The sequence below is a fragment of the Homo sapiens genome, chromosome 6, assembly GCF_000001405.40.
Source record: "Homo sapiens chromosome 6, GRCh38.p14 Primary Assembly".
In the NCBI taxonomy this organism is placed as follows: Eukaryota; Metazoa; Chordata; class Mammalia; order Primates; family Hominidae; genus Homo; species Homo sapiens.
Genome location: NC_000006.12, coordinates 111,593,351 through 111,616,236, shown reverse-complemented (window position 1 = coordinate 111,616,236; position 22,886 = coordinate 111,593,351). Strand labels below are relative to the sequence as shown.

Below are 22,886 nucleotides of genomic sequence, written 5' to 3'. Positions count from 1 at the left end.
CTGTAAGCACCTGGAAGACAGGCATCAATGTCCACAGGATTCGCCTTAGGTTCTGTACAGCACAGTCTGCCAGTGAGTATGTGGAATGCATTCTTGACGCTAAAGGAATCATTGTTCAGATTCTATGGACAGAGAGCTCCAGCTACCACACCCAGCTGCTTGGGACTGGGATTTCACAATGCAGACAGGTGGCATTGAGAACTGTCAGAGAAGTGATCTGCTGAAGAAATCAACCCCTGGATTCTCTTTTCTAGGATGCACACGGTTCTAGTGATAAACACGTGTCTGGAGTCTGGAAATCAGGCAGCTACGCTTGCTCAGAGGGAGGATTTGAGCATCAACTGTCCACCCTCCCATCTCCCACAAACCCACCCCTCACATCTTTGAGGAGCTCTGAAAGATCAGCATGTCCATAAAATCTATCTCCCTTCTAACTGTGTGCCCAAAGTTTCACCATTTAATGCCTTTCCTGGGTTATCATTGCCCCACTTGCCACCAATTTCTCCCCACTTGTTCCTTGATGCCTGAAATTCCTTTAATATGGAACAAAGCCTTTCATTTCATAGAGGGTGATGAGGCTTAACATGCAAGCACCCCTCAGAGAGGCAGTGCGTTGACTTAAATTCACACCGTGTAACTTAGGTATAAATGTGTGATCAGGTTTTTCTCTGAGAGAATGTTTTGATGGGGAAAGGCAGAGAAGGGAATAAGGACCCTAGAAAATGCAGGGTTGGAGGAAGTGCAGTCTAGAGAGAGAAACGCGCAGAAAGGAGAGGCTAGGCCCGCCCAAGATTAATCTCTGTGGCATCAGCTGACAGCCAGCGCCCTCCGTTGCTCCCTGAGTGGCTCCTGTGATGCCTGATGCGGGAGAGAGGCGTGGCTTTCTTAGGGAGTCAGCTCCTGATTTGACGCCCAGCTGTGTAGCCCTAGCAAGGCACCTAACTTCTCTGTGCCTGGATTTCCTCACCTGGGGAATAAAAGTAATAAAACCTATCTCGCACAGCTGCCTTGGGGTTGTTTTTTAAATGTGGTGAAATACACAGAAAATTTACCATCTTAACCATTTTAAGTTGTACAATTCAGTGGGATTAAGCACATTCCCATTGTTGCATAACCATTATCACAATCCATCTCCAGAACTCTTTTCATCTTGCAAACTGAAAGTCCGTACCTGCTGAACAATAACTCCCCACTTCCCTCCTCCCCAGCCCCTGGCAACCACCGTTTACTTTCTGTCTGTGTGAATTTGACTACTTTAGGTCCCTTACATAAGTGGATCGTGCAGTATTTGTCCCTTGTGGCTTATTTCACTCAGCACAATGTGTCAAGGTTCACTCATGTTGTAGTGTCAGAACTTCCTTCCCTTTTAAGGCTGAATAATATTCCATTGTATGAATGGAACACATTTTGTGTATCCATTCATCTGTTGATAAACACTTGGATTGTTTCTACCTCTTGGTTGTTGCAAATAATGCTGTTATGAACACAGGTGTACAGAGAGCTGTTTGAGCCTCTGCTTTCGTTTCTTTGGGGTGTATATATACATATATATTCAGAAGTGAAATTGCTGGATCCTATGGTAATTCTGGTTTTAATTTCTGAGGAACTGTCACTGTGTTTTCCATAGCAGCTGGAGCATTTTACATTCCCACCAACAGTGCACAAGTGTGCCAGTTTCTCCACCTCCTTTCCAACACTTGATATTTTCTGGGTTTTTTTATACTAAACATCCTAATTTTAAAATGTGAACTAAATAACGCTGTCCATGGACACATCCAAAAGTTAAACTGGGTAAATCCAACTAGAGAAAACTTGAAGAAGAATGTCAAACTTTATGATAGATTGTCCTGAAGGGCACAATGTAATGGGTCACGTAGCAAAGCATGTTAAAGCTCCTCCCTGTCCTTTCTACTGTCGCTGCCACCCTGTTCCACAAAGTCTCTCACTGCCACACTGCTGTGCCTCCTCCCCCTCCTCTGCTGGCCCCATGCTACATTGTCATTGTCCCTTTATCCCTTTCCAAACACCCCCTCTCATCTGACCCACCCTGCTGTGTTCAGCCTTCATAGGAAGCAGAATCTGGACTCTATTCACCTGTTTTTTGAAGAGAAGCTCTGGAATTCTGGTGAGTAAATTTCTCCACTTCATTATACAGACGGTGAAAATCACCTTGCATGTATTAGATGCTCCATGAAAGGTAGCTGATCTCATAGTCCCTGCTTCACAGAGGTGTTGTCAACAGTAAACGAGTGAGTGCATGCAAAGTGCTCAGAACCCTGTAGGCGCTCACCAAGTGTTCTCTCGAGCTTAGCTACTACTATTGTGGTGGAAGTCATGGGGAGCCTAGTGTAGAGAACCTAATCACTTTTTAACAAGAAAAGCTGCCAAAACCTTTGGGTCCAGGTGACCACAGAGAGTCAGTCATCTTGGAACAGATCATCTTGAACTTTTCCCAAAACTTGAGAGTGCTCCCTGAGTAAGTATGCAAGTGTCAGTTGAACAGGCATCCATTGCTTAACAGAACCTTTTGTAGGTTGACAAAGCCTGCTGTTCCCAGTATTCCTTTAGTAGGGGAAGGAGGTTAATAAATTTGTACTGGGGGCTGGGCACAGTGGCTCACATCTGTAATCCCAGCACTTTGGGAGGCTAAGGCAGGTGAATCACCTGAGGTCAGGAGTTCAAGACCAGCCATGGCAAAACCCCATCTCTACTAAAAATACAAAAATTAGCCAGGCATGGTAGCGGGTGCCTGTATCTCAGCTACTCGGGAGGCTGAGGCAGGAGAATCTCTTGAACCCAGGAGGTGGTGGTTGCAGTGAGCCAAGATCGCACCACTGCACTCCAGCCTCGGCTACAGAGTGAGACTGTCTCAAAATAAATAAATAGATTAATTAATTAATTAATTTGCACTGGAGTCAAGGAACCTCTTGGAAAGAAAAAACAAATTGAGAACTAACTCTTCCATTCTGAGACTCCATGCTACCAGGACTTCTATTCAGGAGGTCCCCTGACTGAATCTGATGACAGAACAAGACCCTGTTCCAGAGAGGAGCTCACCCAAAGGGAAGGGTCACTAGGAAAGCAGAGCAGGGTCCAGGGGCTTGGCAGGAGGTGGAGGAGGAGGGTGGTGGTCAGTTCTGGTATCTTCCAGGGCCCTGCAGGGCAGCCTCTCTGGACTGGAAGCAGCCCACAAAAGCAGTGGAACAGAAGCAACTGGTGGACTCTATAGCTTTGTCTAGTGGCCAGTTTGGAACTGCTTGCATCACCAGTTTTTGCTTCTGAAAGAGACATGTTGAGAATCTTTCCATTTACATGCCTAGCACCAAGCATATGCCTGGAATAAGGCAGGTGCTCACTGCAGGCTGTGGGACTAGAGTGGGTCTGGTGTGGCAGGACCCGACACTGGGAGCCTGAGCATTTCTTCTCTTCCTGTCTCTGCCCTAGCAGCAACTCCTCTGTGGCTATCTCAGTCTGTTCTGGTTGCTATAACAAAATACCTTAAACCAAGTAATTCATGAACAACAGAAATGTATTGCTCACCGTTCTGGAGGTTGGGAAGTCCAAGATCAAGGTGCTAGCAGATCTGGTGTCTGGTGAGGGCCTGTTCCTTATAGATGGTGCCTTCTATGTGTAGAAGGGGCCAGGAGGCTCCCTTGGGCCTCTTTTAAAGGGCACTAATCCCATGCCTGAGGGCTCCACCCTCATGACCTTATCACCTCCTACAGGCCCCATGTCTTAATACCACCACATTGCAGATAGGGTTTTCAACATGGATTTTGGGGGGACACAGACATTCGGACCCTAGCGATGACTGTCCACTGAGGGGCACTGAGGGGCTGTGGGGAGAGTTAGCCAGTTGGTGTTTGAACACACCAGACCCTTTGGATAAGGGCCCTTCTCAGGGAAGAACATGATGGTAATTGTCTTCTCTTCCACGTGAAACATCATAGTTTCACTCTGCCTTTTTAGTACTTGAAATTATAGCTTTTAAAAATGTAAAATCAAGGTTTGTCCAAGGAATGAATCCTTTCCCTTTTCATTTCTTTCCATAGATTAATGCTATAGAATGGAGAGTTTCTAATTAGATCCAAATGGTTTGGTCAGTTTTGCTTAGGGAGTGGAATAAGATATTCTTTATCTTCTTATGCCTTTTTAAAAAATACTAAGTGATTGGCTGGGCGTGGTGGCTCACGCCTGTAATCCCAGCACTTTGGGAGGCTGAGGCGGGCAGATCACAAGGTCAGGAAATCAAAATCATCCTGGCTAACATGGTGAAACCCCGTCTCTACTAAAAATACAAAAAATTGGCCCTGCATGGTGGCGGGCGCCTGTAGTCCCAGCTACTTGGGAGGCTGAGGCAGGAGAATGGCATGAACCTGGGAGGCGGAGCTTGCAGTGAGCCGAGATTGCGCCACTGCACTCCAGCCTGGGTGACACAGCGAGATTCTGTCTCTAAAATAAAATAAAATAAAATAAAATGAAAAATAAAAAAAATAAATAAAAAATACTAAGTGATATGGTTTGGCTGTGTCCCCACCCAAATCTCATCTTGAATTTTCATGTGTTGTGGAAGGGACTTGGTGGGAGGTAACTGAGTCATGGCGGCAGGTCTTTCCTGTGCTGTTCTCATGATAGTGAATAAGTCTCATGAGATCTGATGGTTTTAAAAAGGGGAGTTTCCCTGCACAAGCTCTCTCTTTGCCTGCCGCCATCCACGTAAGATTTGACTTGCTCCTCCTTGCCTTCTGCCATGATTGTGAGGCCTCCCCAGCCACGCGGAACTATCAGTTCATTAAACCCTTTTCCCTGTATAAATTACCTGGTCTTGGATATGTCTTTATCAGCAGCATCAAAATGGATTAATACACTAAGTATTATAGACTGAATGACATATCCACCCAAAATTCATGTATTGAAATCCCAACCCCCAATATAATGATATTAGGAGGTAGGACTTTGGGGAGGTAATTAAGTCATGAGGTGGAGACCTCATGAATGACATTAGTGCCCTTATAAAAGGGACCTCAGAGAACTCTTCAGCCCCTTTTCTACCATGTGAGGACACAATGAGAAGATGGCCACTTATGAACCAGGAGGTGAAACTTCACCAGACACCAGATTTTCCAGTGCCTTGATCTTGGACTTTCCAGCCTCCTGAACTATGAGAAATAAATGTTTGTTGTTTAAGCCACCCAGTCTATGGTATTCTGTTACAGTAGCCGGAACAGACAATGACACTGAGTGTGATGGTTAGGTATTAACTTGGCTGGATTAAGGAATGTTTGGAAACCTGATAAAGCATTCATTTTGGGTGTGCCTGTGAGGGTGTTTCCAGAGGAGATTAGCATGTGAGTCTGAGTGGACTAGGTGGGGAAGAGCCACAGTGAATGTGAGTGGGCACTATTCTATCTGCTGGGAGTCCAGAGAGAACAAAATCAGAGAAAAGGTGAATGGGTCAATCTGTCTGCTGGAACTGAGTTATACTCTTCCTCTGCTGTTATTGGACAAGGACTCCAGGCTCCCAAGCCTTTGGACTCCAGCATTTACACCAGTGGCCCCTGGGTTTTCAGGCCTTTGGCCTTGGCCTGAGAGTTGCACCATCAGCTGCCCTGGTCCTGAGGCCTTCAGACTTGGACTGAGCCATGCTACCAGCATCCTGGGGTGTCCGGCTCACAGACAGCCTGTCACAGGACTTCTCAGCCTCCATAATCACGGAGGTAATCCTGTTGATTCTCTCTCTGCAGAACCCTGACGAATTCACTGAGCAAACTCTAGGATCTGGCAAACACACATGCTCCCCTTCTAGATTTCTAACAAGAGAGAGAAGACTGACCCACATCTTGACTATTCTATTTATGATCTGTACAGCAATCCTTACATATAAACACAGCACCAGGCTGTGGCACAGTCACAACCCCACCCTTTTATTGTCTACACCTTTTTTTCCCTTCTTAAGCGTTGTCAAGAGTTGTGCAAAGAAAGTGTGTTACCTGTGCTCCACCCAAGCATGTAGGAAGAACAGATGGCAACAGGGCAATGGAGGGTAGGGGTTGGGGGGCTGTGGCGGGGTGCAGGGAGGGGGCAGTAATAACATCCACCTGGAAGGGAGACTGCTCTGGGCTTGACTCCTCCATAGATGAGCTGTGTGACCTTGCAGAAGTTACTCAGTATCTCTGAGCCTCAGAGTCCTCAAAGTTAAAGTGGGAATGACAGTAAACACACCTCACAGGACTGTTTGGAGGATGAGATATGCTCAAAGGGAGTGTAGGGTAGGTCCTCAGTGAAGAGTTGCTCTCCCGTGACAGCAATTCAAAAGCTGTGTGTGTTCGCCTGGGTCACCTGTACTTCACCATAACTGCCTCAGGCAGGTTCAGAGGAGATTTCTCCTGTTCAGGACACCCTCTCTAAACAGTGGCCATCCTCAGGCTGCTTTTCAGCCCGGAGCCCCAGCAGAGGCTTCTAAGAGGGAACCATGAACTCATTCCCTGAAGTGCCTGCCTTTCTGCTCATGATAAATTTAGACAGGAGGCGAGCGGATCACCTGAGGTCAGGAGTTTGAGATCAGCCTGGTCAACATGGTGAAACCCCGTCTCCACTTAAAATACAAGAAAATTAGCTGGGTGTGGTGGCAGGCACCTGTAATCCCAGCTACTCGGGAGGCTGAGGTGAGAGAATTGCTTGAACCCAGGATGCAGAGGTTGCGGTCAGCCGACATCGTGCCATTGCACTCCAGCCTGGGAGACAAAGCAAGACTCCGTTTCAAACAAACAAACAAACAAACTGTAGACAAGAGGAAGGCCCAGCCAACAGCAATGAAAAGCAGCACTTCGGCACTTGTGTTCTTCCTACAGGGCTCTTAGGTCTCACACCCAGGAAAACAGTTGGTGGAGAACTGGAGAAAAGTTTCCCTTTGTTCTCCCTGGCGGGTTGTATTTCAGAGGTGGTACTCGGCAGAGCATCTTCAGGCCTTTCCCAATCCATTTAAGGACAACAAAGAGAAATGAAAAATATTTCCATTCCTGCTCCCCTCGCTCTCCCTGCTAGCTCCTCCCCTTGCCATTCTTCTTTGCTTTTCCGTTCCCATTTCCTAACTCCAGTAGCTCTCTCAAAGTATCCTGGTACCAACCGGACCACAGAAAATGCTATTTTTTCCTACCCTCCAAAAGATGACTCTAATAATAATTTTGAAGCAGAAACTTCAAAGCCAAGGTAATAAAACTTTTTTAAAAAACTTCATTCTTTTAAATGAAAAAGTCCTACATGTTATTGTGAAAAAAAGAATCAAATAGTCCATATGTATATATCATAAAGCCCTCTATCCTTATTTATTTTCCTCAATCGCATTCCCTTGAAGTGAGCACCACTAAACAGTTTGGCATACATCTTTCCAGATATTTCTAACTTGGTCACTGAACAGATACACAGTGATTGCCCACAATGTCCTAGGCAGGGCAGTGTGCTAGGTCCCCTGGGGCCCAGTGGTGAGCAAACACAAATCTATATGTTGGGCTGGGTGCAGTGAGGCACACGTGCAATCCCAGCATTTTGGGAGGCTGAGGTGGTGTAGGGTCCAGCCCCACAGGGTCAGTGGGTCTCTCTCCGTGTGTGGAGACGAGAGAGTGTAGAAATAAAGACACAAGACGAAGAGATAGAAGAAAAGACAGCTGGGCCCCGGGGACCACTACCACCAATGCGCGGAGACCGGTAGTGGCCCCGAATGTCTGGCTGCGCTGTTATTTATTGGATACAAAGCAAAAGGGGCAGGGTAAAGAGTGTGAGTCATCTCCAATGATAGGTAAGGTCACGTGGGTCACGTGTCCACTGGACAGGGGAACCTTCCCTGCCTGGCAGCCAAGGCAGAGAGAGAGAGGAGACAAAGAGAAAGACAGTTTATGCCATTATTTTTGTAGATCAGAGACTTTTAGTACTTTCACTAATTTACTACTGCTATCTAGAAGGCAGAGCCAGCTGTACAGGATGGAACATGAAGGCGGACTAGGAGCGTGACCACTGAAGCACAGCATCACAGGGAGACGGTTAGGCCTCCGGATAACTGTGGGCAAGGCTGACTGCTGTCAGGCCCTCCACAAGAGGTGGAGGGGCAGTCTTTTCTAAACTCCCCCGGGAACCCCTTTCCCCGTCTGCTAAGTAGCGGGTGTTGTTCCTTGACGCTTTTCGCTACCACTAGACCACGGTCCGCCTGGCAACAGGCGTCTTCCCAGATGCTGGCATCGCCGCTAGGCCAAGGAGCCCTTCTGGTGGCTCTGTCTGGGCATAACGGAAGGCTCGCACTCTTGTCTTTTGGTCACTTCTCACTGTGTCCCCTCAGCTCTTATCTCGTATGGCCTGGTTTTTCCTAGGTTATGATTATAGAGCAAGGTTTATTGTAATATTGGAATAAAGAGTAATTGCTACAAACTAATGATTAATGATATTCATATATAATCATATCTAAGATCTATATCTGGTATAACTATTCTTGTTTTATATTTTATTGTACTGGAACAGCTCGTGTCCTCGGTCTCTTGCCTCGGCACCTGGGTGGCTTGCTGCTCACAAGGTGGGAGGATCCCTTGAGACCAGGAGTTCAAGACCAGCCTCAGCAACACAGGGAGACCTGTCTCTAGAAAAAATTTAAAAATTAGCTAGGTGTGGCGGTGTGCACCTGTAGTCCCACCTACCCGGGAGACTGAGGCAGGAGGATTGTTTGAGCCCAGGAGGTCAAGGCTGCAGTGAGCTATGATTGCGCCACTGCACTCCAGCCTGGGCAATAGACTGAGACACTGTCTCTTAAAAAAAATCGATATACATATCTATGTGTGTGTATATGTCACATATATTGGCAAAAAATAAGATAATACTTTTAGTTAAATAATATCTCAGAGCCACTTTTTCATGTTAGTGGCTCAGATAATACATACATATTGATGATTTTTAATAGCTGCATCATTTTCTGCAAACCAAATGCAAACAACCTGTGTATACTGTGTTAAAAACAAGCTGCATTTTCTCTGCTTGTGGAATGTTGAGCAACCTGCTTCCTGTATCCTGCTTGAGCAGAACCTGGTACAATCTGAACAGGGATGCTCTGGGGCCTGTCCCCTTGATGAGAGTAGAGAGATAGCCGGCTGAGTGGACTGACACTTGGACCCCTTCAACAGGCAGACAAGTCCAGCACCAGGAGCATGGTGTGTCTGCCCAGGGCGCCCAGCTGGCCAGTGACATGGCTGAGTTCGTACCCAGGTCCTCCTGACTCCAAAGCTCCAGCTAACACTGCTCCCATTACTGACTGCTGCCCCGAAAGGCAGTTGTCTCTCTCTCTCTCTGTTCACATCGCTGGGTATCATCCTGCCTGCAGCGCTCCTTCATGCAATAAATTCTGCAGGCTACTGATTAAACAATGGGAAGGAAAGGGGAGAAAAAAAATCTTGAGGTCAGGAAAATGCAGCCAGAGGAGGTTAGTGTGCATGTGTGCATGTGTATGTATGTGTGTGTGTGTGTTCTTAAAATTAACCACTTTTTTTGTGCCTGACAATAGGGTGGTGTGTGTGCACAAGCCACAGGCATGTGTATGCTGTGTGTACACGTGTGTCCAGGAGCATGGTCAGTGAGCCCCCCCCCACCCCCCCAGTGGTTATGGGCAGCAAATACTGATTTTTTGGGTTTTTTTAAATTTTTTTTTTGAGACGGAGTCTTCGCTCTGTCGCCCAGTCTGGAGTGCAGTGGCGATCTCGGCTCACTGCAAGCTCCACCTCCCGGGTTCACGCCATTCTCCTGCCTCAGCCTCCCGAGTAGCTGGGACTACAGGCGTCCGCCACTACGCCCGGCTAATTTTTGTATTTTTTAGTAGAGACGGGGTTTCACCTTGTTAGCCAGGATGGTCTCGATCTCCTGACCTCGTGATCCTCCCGCCTCGGCCTCCTAAAGTGCTGGGATTACAGGCGTGAGTCACCGCGCTCGGCAATGCTGATGTTTTAAGCAGTTAGAGGAGGTGGAAGAAGCTCGACTCCCTCTTCTTCCCCATTATCTGCCCACAATCCCCTCCTTTGGAGCTGCTAATGATTACTAATTCTTAACATTCGAGTTCAATCTCCTCCCGGAGACACCCTCCCAGGCGAGGGCACTGCGACTACACTGAGGTTCTGCCCACTCCTGGGCAGCTTCTTAGCTGGGTGGCGAAAACAAAAATGCCGCCTAATTGGTCACTGGCCCTTTCTCATGAATGAAGGAGGTTTCTGTTTTAAGAAATAAAGTGACTCCTCAGCCGTTGATTCACTGCCCACAGGGAGATTTTGAGCAGAGGCTTCCTAGGCTCCGTAGAAATTTGCATACAGCTTCCACTTCCTGCTTCAGAGCCTGTTCTTCTACTTACCTGGGCCCGGAGAAGGTGGAGGGAGACGAGAAGCCGCCGAGAGCCGACTACCCTCCGGGCCCAGTCTGTCTGTCCGTGGTGGATCTAAGGTAAGTTATTCGGAGTTGCCACTTGCCTGGTCTTATTTCTTCACCTCTGACCTATTTCCCAAAGCACGCTGTTTCTCCTTTACTGAAACATTCTGCCTCTACTTTCCTCTGTGTTCGTCTCCCCTCCTTTAACTTGTTCGCACAGAGACCATCTTAGCTGAGAAAATGACAGTGAAGTTTGTGCTGCAAGGATGTGTTGCTAGTATAGTATTTCAGGCCAGCGAGCCCCGCCGGGTTAACCCTTTGAGGAGAGGAGGCTCGCACACGGGGACAGCTCGGAGCTGCCTGGGAACCATTCGTTTGGGTACTTAGTGTCCCCACAAGTTTCTCTCAAGAATTCAAGCCCCACTTCTCCAAAGAGAGAGCCAGGGATGGCAAAGATTAAGTAATTGGCTTTCAGCCCCAGAACACGTCAGTGGCAGTTTTCTCAATCCTTGTTTCGTGCAGGGGGGAAAAAAATCAACAGCACATTTTTGGGCCAGGAAGTTCTGCTGAGCTCTGTGCTGGCTGTGAGCCGCCTCCCGGCCCCTCTCCGCAGCCGCCCTCCAGCCCTCCCAGCCTGGCGCTGGACGGAGCCTTTGGGAACAAGGGGGAGAAATGCCAGAACTTGATCTTAGAAGCTAATCAAGCTTCTTGTGACTTTCAAGTTCAAGATGGTATCTTAGAATAGGGGGATTTTTTTTTTTTTAAAGGAACAGGAGAACAAGAGGCCAAATTTTTTAAAAGGACAAGAAACTTGGTTTCAAGTTCTTCACTTCTTGTGGTTCCATGACTTAGGCAATTCACTCTGACTCCACTAAGCCTGGATTTCTTCATCAGTAAATTGATGGGGGGTGGTGATCTAACATGAGTGTGTCAAATTCCCTTATAAAACAAAGCCAGGATAGTCCCAGAGGGGTAGTGGTAATGGGTGGTCTTCAAGACTTGTTTTGTTTACCGATTATTCACATATTTTAATTTTACCTCCCACTACCAGTTGGTTACCCCCTTGAGGAAAGGACTTTGTTTCCTGATATTTTTCTACCTCCCAGAATCCAGCATGCTACCAAATGCCTAGTAGGTGCTCACCCCCCTTCCATGTCAACTGCTTTGATTTCTGTTTCACTCGTCTGCTCTCAAGGCAAGAGGTAAAGCAGCAGTCAGGGCGAAAGGCTGGGAGACACGTGTCTCTGCGGGAGGGCTGCCTGGAATTGAGGCCTTATTACTGGCTCTAGCCAAATAGGAGAAAACAGGGAGTTTCTCGAATTAGTTCATGTCCCATTTGGGTTACCCAGGAAGGATAGTCTGTGCTATTGTCCACAGAGTCAAGGCAGGCCAGAGAACTGGCAGACAAGCCCAGCTCCAGAAGCCAGAGTTACTGCTGTAGCTGGACCTGGAAACCACTCCTCAGCTGGACCAGTCACTGTGTGTGGGGCCTTTAATGGGAGGGGAAGGGAAACTATGAAACACATCCTAATACCATGTAAGGGTGATGACTGTGATTAGAGACATTATTAGATGGCGGATACACAGAATCCTTAACTTTTTCCAGACCGTGACTTAAAAAAAAATTGTCATTGTTTCTTTTTGGCAATTACTTGCCATCAATACAGTTCAAACAGGCCCTAGCTGACTGGGATGGGCTGGTGCAGGACTTTTGGTTTCTGTGGGATGTCCTGGTGTAGTCCGTGTCATGTTTTTAGGCATTTCTCTCTATTCCCCTGGGATGAAAGGACAGGAATTTCAAGATATTTCACCTGCAATGAGTTCCTGATTTTATTTTCAAACAACGATGCACCATTATCTGAAAGCAGGCTAACTGTTGTGCACTTGCCAGCCTCGCTCTAATCCTTAAAGGCCACACACCACAGTCATTCTTAATCTGCTGCTGCAGCTACCAGTCACTCCATGATGGAGCATCAAAAGATGGATAATGTAGTTACTCTGCTCTGTTCCTTGCATGGGGTGGGTTAAACAGAAGTGAGGTCTGAGTAATGTACCAACATGTCGGATAGAAAGGTTCTTAACTCAGGGTTACTCATTTTTGGAAGGTGTAGAGACAGGAAATGTTAAAGCCTGCTTCTCCTGGGATTAAGGAGTTAGTGACTTTCAAATGCTCTGAAAAGAAAAAGAAGAGGAGAAGACAGTCATATCTGCAGGCATTCTTCAACAGGCATTCAGAAAGATTATGGTGGGGTAGTTTGTCTAAATGAAATCTTTGTTTTACACGTTGTAGAATGGAAATCTCAGGAATATCCTGAATTCAAATCATTTTTCTTCTGCAGGCAATTTTAAATTAGCTTCTAAAAACATATATGAATTGCAGGCAACTGCTGCAGAAAAAAAAGAGTGAACACAGATGAGGCATATTCAACTTTAAATTCCTTTCAGATCCAATGAAATGACCCCTAATGTTTGATCACATTTCCTTATCAAAACAATCCTGCAGTCTGAAGGATTTTTCCATGAGAAAGTGTCTGAGGACTGGAATCAAGAAGCTGCCCCCCGGGCCTCTCCTGTTTCTTCCCAATGCGTTGTCACCAAGATATTTTTAGTTCATGAAACTCAGGCTGTCCTTTCTCCCACTTATGGTCTTTGCCTCCCGTGCCCAGCAGGCCTCCTAGAAGCACACATGTGCTTGGCTGTGACTACTCAGCTCACTCTGTAGCTGTGTGTGCACGCCTTGTGTGTGTGTGTGTGTGTGTGTGTGTGCACACCTTGTGTGTGCACAGACCTTCCCGGATACCAGGAGTTGTAGACTGGCTGAAGAAGGGTGGGCTTCCATCCATGGGGTGATCCTTAGGTCTGTGCTGGTTTGGCTTGGTTCCCTGATAAGGCAGCTGAACTCAAGCCCTTTAGGAGGGCCAGGACTGACCGGAGCTCCCAGCCTGTGCCCCTCTCCTCGCACCCCACAGGCCGCACCCCACAGACTGAGGCTGCCTGGGGTCTTGGCAGCTCCCTCAGCAATGAGGGATACTTGCTCTCCGCTGCCTCATTGTTTCCCTGCAGTCAGGATGCCAGTGTTTTTTCCCTTTCCCCTTCCCAGAGTCAACAGGTCTCCCTCCCCGCTCTGAACTCTCTTCCTACTCTGAGCTGTCTGTCCAAACTCTTCCTGGCCTCCCAGCTTACCCTATGACACTCTTACCTTTCACCTATATTCATTCTTTCCCTTCTCTTCCAACTGCCCCTTCTCATACCCAGCACTACATACAAATTACAAGTAAATAAGTGTCTCTCCTACACCAATAAAAGGCAAATACAAAAAAATCCTTCAGCGTTTCCCCACTTTCCTTACTTCTCTTCCGTTCTCCTTCCTTCCTTTCTCTCCCTTCCTCTTCCTCTCTTGGTTTTTCCTTTCTACCCCTTCCTCTCCTTCACTCCGTGGCTGTGGCTGAATTAGGGATCACACATGTGCTTAGAGAAACCATCTTATCTGAAGAAACAAAAAAACAAAAACCAAAACAATGACAACGACAGAAAAAAAAAAAAAACATGGGCTGGTTTGAGGTTGTTCTCTAAATGTTTATTATAACTTCTAATGTGATGGAGTCAGTGTGTTCCCATTAGTCCTTCTCCTCCTCATTTAGTAGCTCAGAGGAGTCCCAGAGCAAACTTCCTCAAATCAGGTCGGTTCATACTGCACTGCCTTCAGCCTGATGTGAGTCTTACTGTGCTGGGTTTATGTCCAAGGGCCAGTAAATATTCCCTTCCTTCCAGGGCTCACCACTGTTTCAAATCCTCTGGCAAGCCCAGTGGAAGAACTTCTCTGTATGGGAAATTCAGCAAGTAAACTTGGAAGTATTTGTTCATTGGAGTTTGAATCTGAGCCAAACAGTTCACTCAAAACCAACCTTCCACTCAGCAAACCAGTGTTATGAAAGTTTGCATGCATTTGGGCAGGAAACAAAGGACATTAATGAGTTTAAAGATTTTTTTTTAAATCCATGACTTTTGGACATTTATTAAAAAGATTACTCTCTGGGGAATGAAGTAAGGCCTTGGGAATCTTGTAATTGAAAGTTTCTGATCCGAAGTAGATCTCAGGATCCTCCCAGCTGTAAATTTATAGATTTCTTTTTAATGTCCACCTGAAATATTCATGCTGTGTGTCTCTAGGACGCTTCAAACCTATTCCTGACTCAAAGAAAGCTTAAGAAAAAATCCAAGCAGTTGTGATCACCAAGGCCTGATTATGGAGGAGCTGTTAATATGGTTTATTAATTACTCAGGCTGCTCACTCCTGTCCTTCCTCTGTTCCTTGCTGTGCTATTTGTCTTCTTCTGGGGACATAACACCTTCATTAAATCCCATCCGTCCTTGCCTTAGAGTTGTCCCCTGGAAGATAGCTCCCCTCTAGATGCATCACCATTTATCATCACCCTTTGTTGGTGCTCTGTCAACCAGTTTTCAATTTATTTTGAATTCAGTTAATGATTAAAATTTAATGAGATCCAGTCAAATGCTTTTCTCAAATCAAGATGCCTCTGCAGCCTCATCTGTATCCTCTTGTGATGGCGTGAAGGAAAGCCATGGCAGATTTCCAGCCTGGTGATGCTGTACAGAACACAGGTGGCCTGCTTCCATGCCTCCTCAGCTTCAAGGTGAATGGCTCTGAAGCATATTTATTACAGAATCTCCTAGGGGTTATGTGGCTTCCCCATCCCCTTTCTTCCCTCCCAATAGCTGAACCAGTCAGTGCTCCCAACCGAGATGCAAGCGGTTAAGTGCACAGGATCTGGTGCCAAACCGCTTATATTTGAATCACAGCTCTGCTACTTAATAGCCATGTGACCTCGGAAAAGTTACTTACCTTCTCTATGCCTTGCTTTTCCTGTCTGTAAAATGAGTCTGACAATAGTACTTAGGAAATTAGAGTGGGTGTGAGGATTAAGTAAGTTAATATATCTATCACACTTGGAACAGCATTTCCCACGTAGTCACCATTCAATAAATATTAACAATGATTGCTAACAAAGAGTAAAGTTCCTTAAGTATGTCAGTTTCATTAGGTTTGTATTTTGGCTTATCAGTGTACAATCTATATCAACAGTAAACTACAACCCTAGAGCCAATGGTTACCATGACCTGTTTTTAGCACCAGCCTGTTGCTCAGAATGGTTTTTATATGTTTAAAGGGTGTCTTTTCTTAAAAAAAATAAAAATAAAAAAGGAGCAGAATATGAAACAGACACAGCATGTGGCCCATAAGGCTTAAACTATTTACTATCTGTCCCCTTTGCAGAAAAAGTTTGCCAACCCGTGATTTATATGGTTTAATGGAAAGAGCTTGGAGATCTAAAGGCTTGATTTGGCTTCACCCATCACTTGTTAAGTGACTATGGAAAAGCTTCTCAATGTGTCTAAGCCTCTGTAAAACAGGAATGGCAAAGTGGTAACACGTACCCTGCTTATGGCCTAGGCTTGTTTTAAGGACCAAACGAGATGATGTGTATCAAATGTGCCGGAAATGACTCATATATACACGTTTGTTAAAAAGATATGGTCTCTATACATTAGCTTCATAGAATAGTATTAGCACCTGGGTGTAAAACCAGGGAATACTGTTTTTAAAAAGAGAGCTCTGAAGCCAGATAATAACTGCAGTTGTCGTTGCGGTAAAAATAACAAAATGGCCATTGCTTTTTAAGAGCTTGATATGTGCCAGGCTCTACATTCAACACTTTATTTACATCTACTCTTTATCCTCACCACACCCCTATGGAGAAGTGTTGCTATTTTCCCTATTTTGCAGATGAGAAAAGTGAGGCCCAGAGACGTTAGGTAACTTTGTCAAGATCACAAATCTAATCATGCAGCTAGCCGGCACAGGGAGAATTTAACCCTAGGGAGTCTGAACCCAGAGCCTGTGCATTTAAGTATTGCATATGTTCCCACATCCTAGGAATATGTGTTGATTTAGGGTAAGCCCATCTGGAAGGCAGAAGCCACTGTTCACTGTGGATGTGGGCATGAAGTCTGTTCATGTGTGCCCTGGGAGAGACTTGCTTCCCACACAGGCCACGGTGGACTCTAACGGACCTGAAGAAAGGGAGGCAGGCATGATGGGAGGAAAAGCTTTTTGGTGAACTCTGAGATCAGAAAGGTAGCGCTGTGAAGACTAATAGGCTCTGTTTCAAAAAACTAGTAAGTTAAGGAAGATTGTGCTAAAAGAGGAAAAGATTGCTGGGAACAGACATGAGCAAACAGTTGGAGGCAGCTCAAGGGGCTTGACTGAGAGCTGTGTACAGAAAAAAAAATTAAAAAAGAGAGAGGGTGAAGCATGGGAAAATCTGTCACTGGGACACCAAGGGAGCATTGTCACATGGACAGCAAGGGAGCATTGTCACATGGACATCAGGGCTGCTGACATCTGGATGTGACATTATTCGCAAAACTAGGCAGCTCGGGGCAGAGTAGAGAAGCCCAGAGAAAGGTATCAGGCCCGAGGAGGCAAAAAGGAAGACAAAGCAAGGGACCTGGAGAGAGAAACTGACATATTTGAGGGAAGATGCCCATCAGATCCAAGAGCTAGAACCACAGCTCACAGTCCAAACGGTGATGAGAGTCCAGAGATTAAAAGCTACTGTCAGGCTGGGTGCAGTGGCTCATGCCTGTAATCTCAGCACTTTGGAAGGACGAGGCAGAAGGATTGCCTGAGCCCAGGAGTTCGAGACCAGCCTAGGCAACATGGCGAGACTCTGTCGCTACAAAAAAAAAAAAAAAAAAAAAATTAACCAGGTGTGGTGGTGCATGCCTGTGGTCCCAACAATATGGGAGGCTAAGGTGGGAGGAAGACCTGATCCCAGGAGGGCAAGGTAGTTGTATGTCCCTGGGAATCACCTCTGTACCCAGCTCATGCCCACCCATGCTTACCCCAGGCACATGTTCTCACCCTCTGCTGAAAGGTTTTTGATATTTGAAGAGATATGTTCACTGTCTCCTGGGCGGTGTCATGAGTTCCTCATTCGCATTGGTTCTTAATCTTTGTGAGCATCAGAATCACTAGTGGAGCCTTTCCTTTTCATTTTTTATCTTTTAAGTCAAAATAGATGCACTTGTTACAAAACTTAAATAGTATAAAATGTTCTGAAAAGCAAACCTCTTTCCTACCCCATTCCTAGCCATCCAATTCCCTTCCCAGAGGCAACCACTGTTCCTCATTTGAGATGGCAGATATACGACCTTATATCATACAAATGATGGCATACCCTACACACTGTGCTACTCTTGAATTTTTTTAACTTAATAAATCTTAGAGATAGTTCCATTTCAGTTCACACAGCCCTTCCTCATTCTTAAAGGATGTGGAGTGCTCATTGTACAGATATACTACAGTTTTAAAAATCAGAACCTTTAGACATGTGGGTTGTGTCTGGTCTTCGCTATTATAAACACTGCGGCGTTGCCTGTCTTCGTAGCCTCTTCATTTCATACAAGATATACATATCTCTGCAGGGGAAATTCTTAGAAGTGAAATTACTAGGTCAAAGGGCATAAGCTTTTAAAATTCTGATAGTTATTGCCAAATTGCACAGATCACATTTCCCTTGGCAAAGTATGAGAGAACCTGTTTACCTGTGAGACTTAAACAAAAATACACTAGTATTTTACATACAATAAACAAAAATACTCAGAGGCCCTGGGTGTGGGGCCTGGGCTCTGTATTGGGAGCCTCAGAGAGGGGTTCTGAGCCAGGAACTCTCCTGGGCTTCTTCGCCCTCCAGCCCCGCTCTCCCCCCAGGATTTGCTGATGAGCCTGAGATGACCCAGGGCACTGCCAGCATGGGGGCTCCCAGGGTCCTAGTTGGCAGGTCTCCTGTTCCCCTGAGGAGTCAGTGCTTGCTCCCTGGGTCATGGCTGGAAAACAGGGCTTTTCCACTTCAATCCAGGCACCGCCCTCTGGTAGAGACTGGAGCAAAGGTCATGCCAGAGTTACAAGCACGTAAATATGGAGAAAGCCTGGAAAAAAAAAGGAAAAACAGAAAAATGGGTCGGGTCAGAACAAGCAAGAACCAGGCTCACATGCACAGCTGTTCCATCCAGTTATATGTCCCCAGGACTCACCTCTGTCCCCAGTTCATGCCCACTCGTGCTTACCCAGGGTACATGCTCTCACCCTCTGCTGAATGGTTTTCTTTGTATTTTAAAAATACAATGGTGAGATACTGAGTGATTGCTTTTTAATGTTTAGTATTTTTACACTATGGACATTAAAGACAAAACAGATAAAACTGCCATCCTTGACATAACCCATTAATCTGTCTGTGGCCCCCTGATGTGGCATTTGTAATTGTTCTCTATGACTGCCTCAGGAGAGTTGGCAGGGTTGCCCACTTTCTGCCAGTTCAGACAGGGGTCTGGGGCTGGAGGGGGCCTGTGTGGTAGTGGCAGGCGTGCCCCACCCTTTTCAGTTCTAGGTGGAGCTCTGCAGAGGCACAAAGACCAGCAACTCCCTGCCTGGAATCTAAGAGCAGATGCTCCCATTACACTGGCTGATGGCATCACCTTTATTCTGCAAGTAAGGGTTGTGGTCAATCCTGCCCATGGGCAGGACCTTTGGGCATGGCCCAGACCTAACTTGGGTGCTTGACACATAGTGGGCACTTAATAAATGTTCTGGAGAGGAAAAAAAAAGAAGAGGGAAGGGTCACCCACGTGGCATAATTTTAAGAACTCTGAGGACCAGGCCCACCAGATACTCCTTGCTACCCAACATTGTTGTTGACAACATTCTCATTGTCACTGATCCGGCTACATGGACCTGTCTGTCCCCTCTCTGAAATAGGCATCAACTATTTATTCATTCAGTGAATCTTTATTGAGCACCTACTATGTGCCAGGTGCAGTTCTAGGTGTTGAGAATATAGCTGTAAACAGAACAGTCAAAAATCATGCCCCCAGGCCAGGCGTGGTGGCTCACTTATAATCCCAGCACTTTGGGAGGCTGAGGTGGGAGGACTGCTTGAGGTAAAGAGTTCAATACCAGTTTGGGTAGCATAGTGAGACCTCATCTCTACAAAAAAATTTTAAAAGTCAGGCACACCGACTGGCGCAGTGGCTCACACCTGTAATCCCAGCACTTTGGGAGGCCGAAGCGGGCGGATCACCTGAGGTCAGGAGTTTGAGACCAGTCTGGCCAACGTGGTGAAACTCTGTCTCTACTAAAAATACAAAAATTAGCCAGACGCAGTGGCGCACACCTGTAATCACAGCTACTCGGGAGGCTGAGGCATGAGAATCGCTTGAACCCGGGAGGCAGAGGTTGCAGTGAGCCGAGATTGTGCCACTGCACTCCAACCTGGGTGACAGAGCAAGACTCCGTCTCAGAAAAAACAGAAAAATTAGGCATGATGGCGTGCGCCTGTAGTCCTAGCTACTTGGGAGACTGAGGTGGGAGGATCACTTGAGCCCAGGAGTTTGAGGCTGCAGTGAACCATGATCTAGGTACTGCTCTCCAGCCTGGGTGACAGAGCAAGACCCCCGTATCACAAAGAAAAAGAAAAGAGAAAATTGCACCCTTAGGAAGTTTATATTCTGGGAGAAGGGAGAGGCAATGAGCAAATAAGAGATTATTAGATATTTGTGTATATCATATACATTTGGGTAATATATAAGACAGTAATAACTGCTGGATAAGAAGGTAAAGCAGGGAAGGGAGATGGGAATGAGAGGAGAGTGTAAACATTTTAGGGAGTGCGACCAGGGAGACCTCCCTGAGGTGACAGCCAAGGAAAGACCTGAAGGAGAAAGGAAGCCAGCCATGCAGCTGTGTGGGGGAAGGGTGTTCCATGAAGAGGGAGCGACAAGCACGAAGGCCCTGGGACGCCGGTCGTGGGTTTTCTGCATGTTACTTAGTTTCCTCTCTTAGGCTGGATCACAGCAACTTGAAGGTAGGAAGAATGTTTTCTGTGTCTTCAGAAATTACTGTGATTATCTCTCACTGCATACCTCCTTTTTTTTTTTTTTTTTGAGACAGAGTCTCGCTGTGTCACCCAGGCTGGAGTGCAGTGGCACGATCTCGGCTCACCGCAACCTCCGCCTCCCGGGTTCAAGCAATTCTCCTGCCTCAGCCTCTGGAGTAGCTGGGATTACAGGTGCCTGCCATCATGCCCGGCTAATTTTTGTATTTTTAGTAGAGGCGGGGTTTCACCATGTTGGCCAGGCTGGTCTCGAACTCCTGACTTTGCGATCTGCCCGCCTTGGCCTCCCAAAGTGCTGGGATTACAGGCGTGAGTCACGGCGCCCGGCATGCATACCCTTTGGTACCTCTTGAAGTTTGTATCACTTGTGGTTATTTAAAAAGTAATAAAACTATTTCAGTTGGGCGTATAGTCAGAAGGGGGATACACAGCATTGAGTTGGACACATAGTTGAGTTCTGTAATTATCTGCTGTTTTGAGTATTTGATAGTGACATGTTTGAAACACCAGGGTCCATTTTGTTTTTTAAAGATTATTAATTCCATAGTTTTATTAGAAGTTGTTTCTTGCCATGCCAGGTTTATTTACTAAATACTCAAAAGCCATGTGTTCCTTTTCAGACCAGTTTATTTTATTTTCTTTTGAGACAGAGTTTCGCTCCTGTTGCCCAGGCTGGGGTACAACAGTTGTGATCTCAGCTCACTGCAACCTCCGCCTCCCAGGCTTAATCGATTCTTCAGCCTCAGTCTCCCAAGTAGCCGGGGTTACAGGTGCCTGCCACCATACCCAGCTAATTTTTGTACTTTTAGTAGAGACAGGGTTTCACCATGTTGGCCAGGCTAGTCTTGAACTCCTGACCTCAGGTGATCCACCCACCTTGGCCTTCCAAAGTGTTGGGACTATAGGCATTAGCCACCGCGCCTGGCCAGACCAGTTTTTTAAAAAATTATTTTTATTTTTTGAGACAGGTTCTTGCTCTGTCACTCAGGCTGGAGTGCCATGGCACGATCTCGGCTCACTGCAGGCTGGACACCTCCAGGGCTCAAGTGACCTCTCACCTCAGCCTCCCAAGTAGCTGGGACTACAGGCTCACGCCACCGCACCTGGCTAATTTGTTTAATTTTTTGTAGAGACAGGGTCTCATTATATTGCCAAGGCTGGTCTTGAACTCTTGGGGTCAAGTAATCCTCCTGCCTCAGCCTGCAAAGTGCTGGGGTTACAGGTGTGAGCCACCACGCCCAGCCCCAGAGCAGTTTTAACTGAAGAATTCCCACCAGAGGATGACCTCAGATTTCCAGTTTATGTGAGATGACTGCCCTCATCACTTTTTTTAAAGCCTCCTCCAAGCCCCCAGATGGCTCCTCAGCTAGAAGAGTAGAATTTGCAACTTTTTTTTTCTTTAGGTAGAAAAGCGCTTCTAAGGTACTCACACTGGAAAACCCAGTGAGAATGGAAATAGTTGTACCTGAAGAGTGAGGATTGAAAGCAAATCCCATGGCAATAAAGAGAGGACAGGAATTAGTCCTCCTGCCACTCAGCTCACTTTTTGCATCTCTTTGCCTCCCATTCAGCTGTGTGCCCACAAGTGCATGTAGACGATGACACAACAGTCAGCCAGGCCTTGAAAAAATATTTTCGTTTTCTGACCGGCTGAAGAGCATGTTGTGTGGCACATCCAATTTCATAACTGTGGAAAAATTGCAAGAAAGAAAGGGAAAAAATGGTGAGCATTTTTTTTTTTTTTGGAGATGGAGTCTCGCTCTTGTCGCTGAGGCTGGAATGCAGTGGCGCAATCTCAGCTCACTGCAACCTCCACCTCCCAGGTTCAAGCGATTCTCCTGCCTCAGCCTCCTGAGTAGCTGGGATTACAGGCACATGCCACCACGCCCAGCTAATTTTTGTACTTCTAGTAGAAAGGGGGTTTTGCCATGTTAGCCAGGCTAGTCTCGAATACCTGACCTCAGGTGATCCACCCGCCTCAGCCTCCCAAAGTGCTGGGATTACAGGCCCGAGCCACTGCGCCCGGCCAAACATTTTTTAAATAATAAAAAGTTGCGATATTTATTTACAGGTTTTTTGGGTAGGCTCTTGTTCATTTTTATAAGGTCTGATCACTTTAGCTGATGAGGTCTCCTTTTCTGCAGAGCCAATGAGCAGAGGACATACACAGCCTGAAAAGGACAAGGACAGGGAAAGGGAGAGACGGAGGGAGGAGGGAAGGCCAGCCGGAAGTTAGAAGTTGAGTTTTCTGTTGCGTCAGAAAACAGAGCAAGGGTCGTTGTGCAGCAGGTGGGTAAGTTTGATACCAAGTGGGAGAAGACTGTCAAAGAGCATTCATTTGGCAGGGAGTGGAGAGGTATCTTTCTGTAGGCTGTTAAGTATATTTGGTGGAAAACTGCTGGCCCCATCTGTGTGAAAGGGGAGCATTTCAAAATGCATGCTGTCCTGATCCCATTGGATTGGGTACAAGGTGCAAGAGAAAGTGAATTCATGCTCTCCGAAACTTGTTTTAGAACATAATTTATG

At 46.4% G+C, this 22,886-nt stretch overlaps 1 protein-coding gene and 1 non-coding gene across 5 annotated transcripts in view, besides 3 other annotated features; one reads left to right on the top strand and one right to left on the bottom strand.

Moving 5' to 3' along the window:
- Positions 8,763-9,395: an enhancer, noted in NCBI's record as "H3K4me1 hESC enhancer chr6:111928045-111928677 (GRCh37/hg19 assembly coordinates)". NCBI's record gives its function as "activates a minimal SCP1, AML or CMV promoter by ChIP-STARR-seq in primed H9 embryonic stem cells {active_cell/tissue: H9 hESC(primed)}" and the evidence as "EXISTENCE:reporter gene assay evidence [ECO:0000049][PMID:30033119]".
- Positions 10,241-10,290: an enhancer, noted in NCBI's record as "active region_24950". NCBI's record gives its function as "activates an Ori minimal core promoter by ATAC-STARR-seq in GM12878 lymphoblastoid cells {active_cell/tissue: GM12878}" and the evidence as "EXISTENCE:reporter gene assay evidence [ECO:0000049][PMID:35858748]".
- The window catches only part of TRAF3IP2 (TRAF3 interacting protein 2), a 50,498-nt gene continuing 37,970 nt past the window's right edge, over positions 10,359-22,886 (top strand). For 2 of the 3 annotated variants that reach the window (NM_001164281.3, NM_147686.4), the window contains exon 1: positions 10,359-10,461. Coding sequence is in view for 1 of the 3 variants with exons in the window: in NM_147200.3 (NP_671733.2) it covers positions 15,023-15,041 (19 nt within the window). In the remaining 2 variants the exon portion in view is untranslated. Of the gene's footprint in view, positions 10,462-14,930; positions 15,042-22,886 lie in introns of all 3 variants that reach the window. The other variant, NM_147200.3, reaches the window with a different exon arrangement.
- Positions 10,581-10,650: an enhancer, noted in NCBI's record as "active region_24949". NCBI's record gives its function as "activates an Ori minimal core promoter by ATAC-STARR-seq in GM12878 lymphoblastoid cells {active_cell/tissue: GM12878}" and the evidence as "EXISTENCE:reporter gene assay evidence [ECO:0000049][PMID:35858748]".
- TRAF3IP2-AS1 (TRAF3IP2 antisense RNA 1) overlaps positions 13,942-22,886 on the bottom strand; it is a 118,824-nt gene continuing 109,879 nt past the window's right edge. For both annotated transcript variants that reach the window (NR_034108.1, NR_034109.1), the window contains one exon: positions 13,942-18,399. This is a non-coding gene — a non-coding RNA (TRAF3IP2 antisense RNA 1). The remainder of the gene's footprint in view (positions 18,400-22,886) is intronic.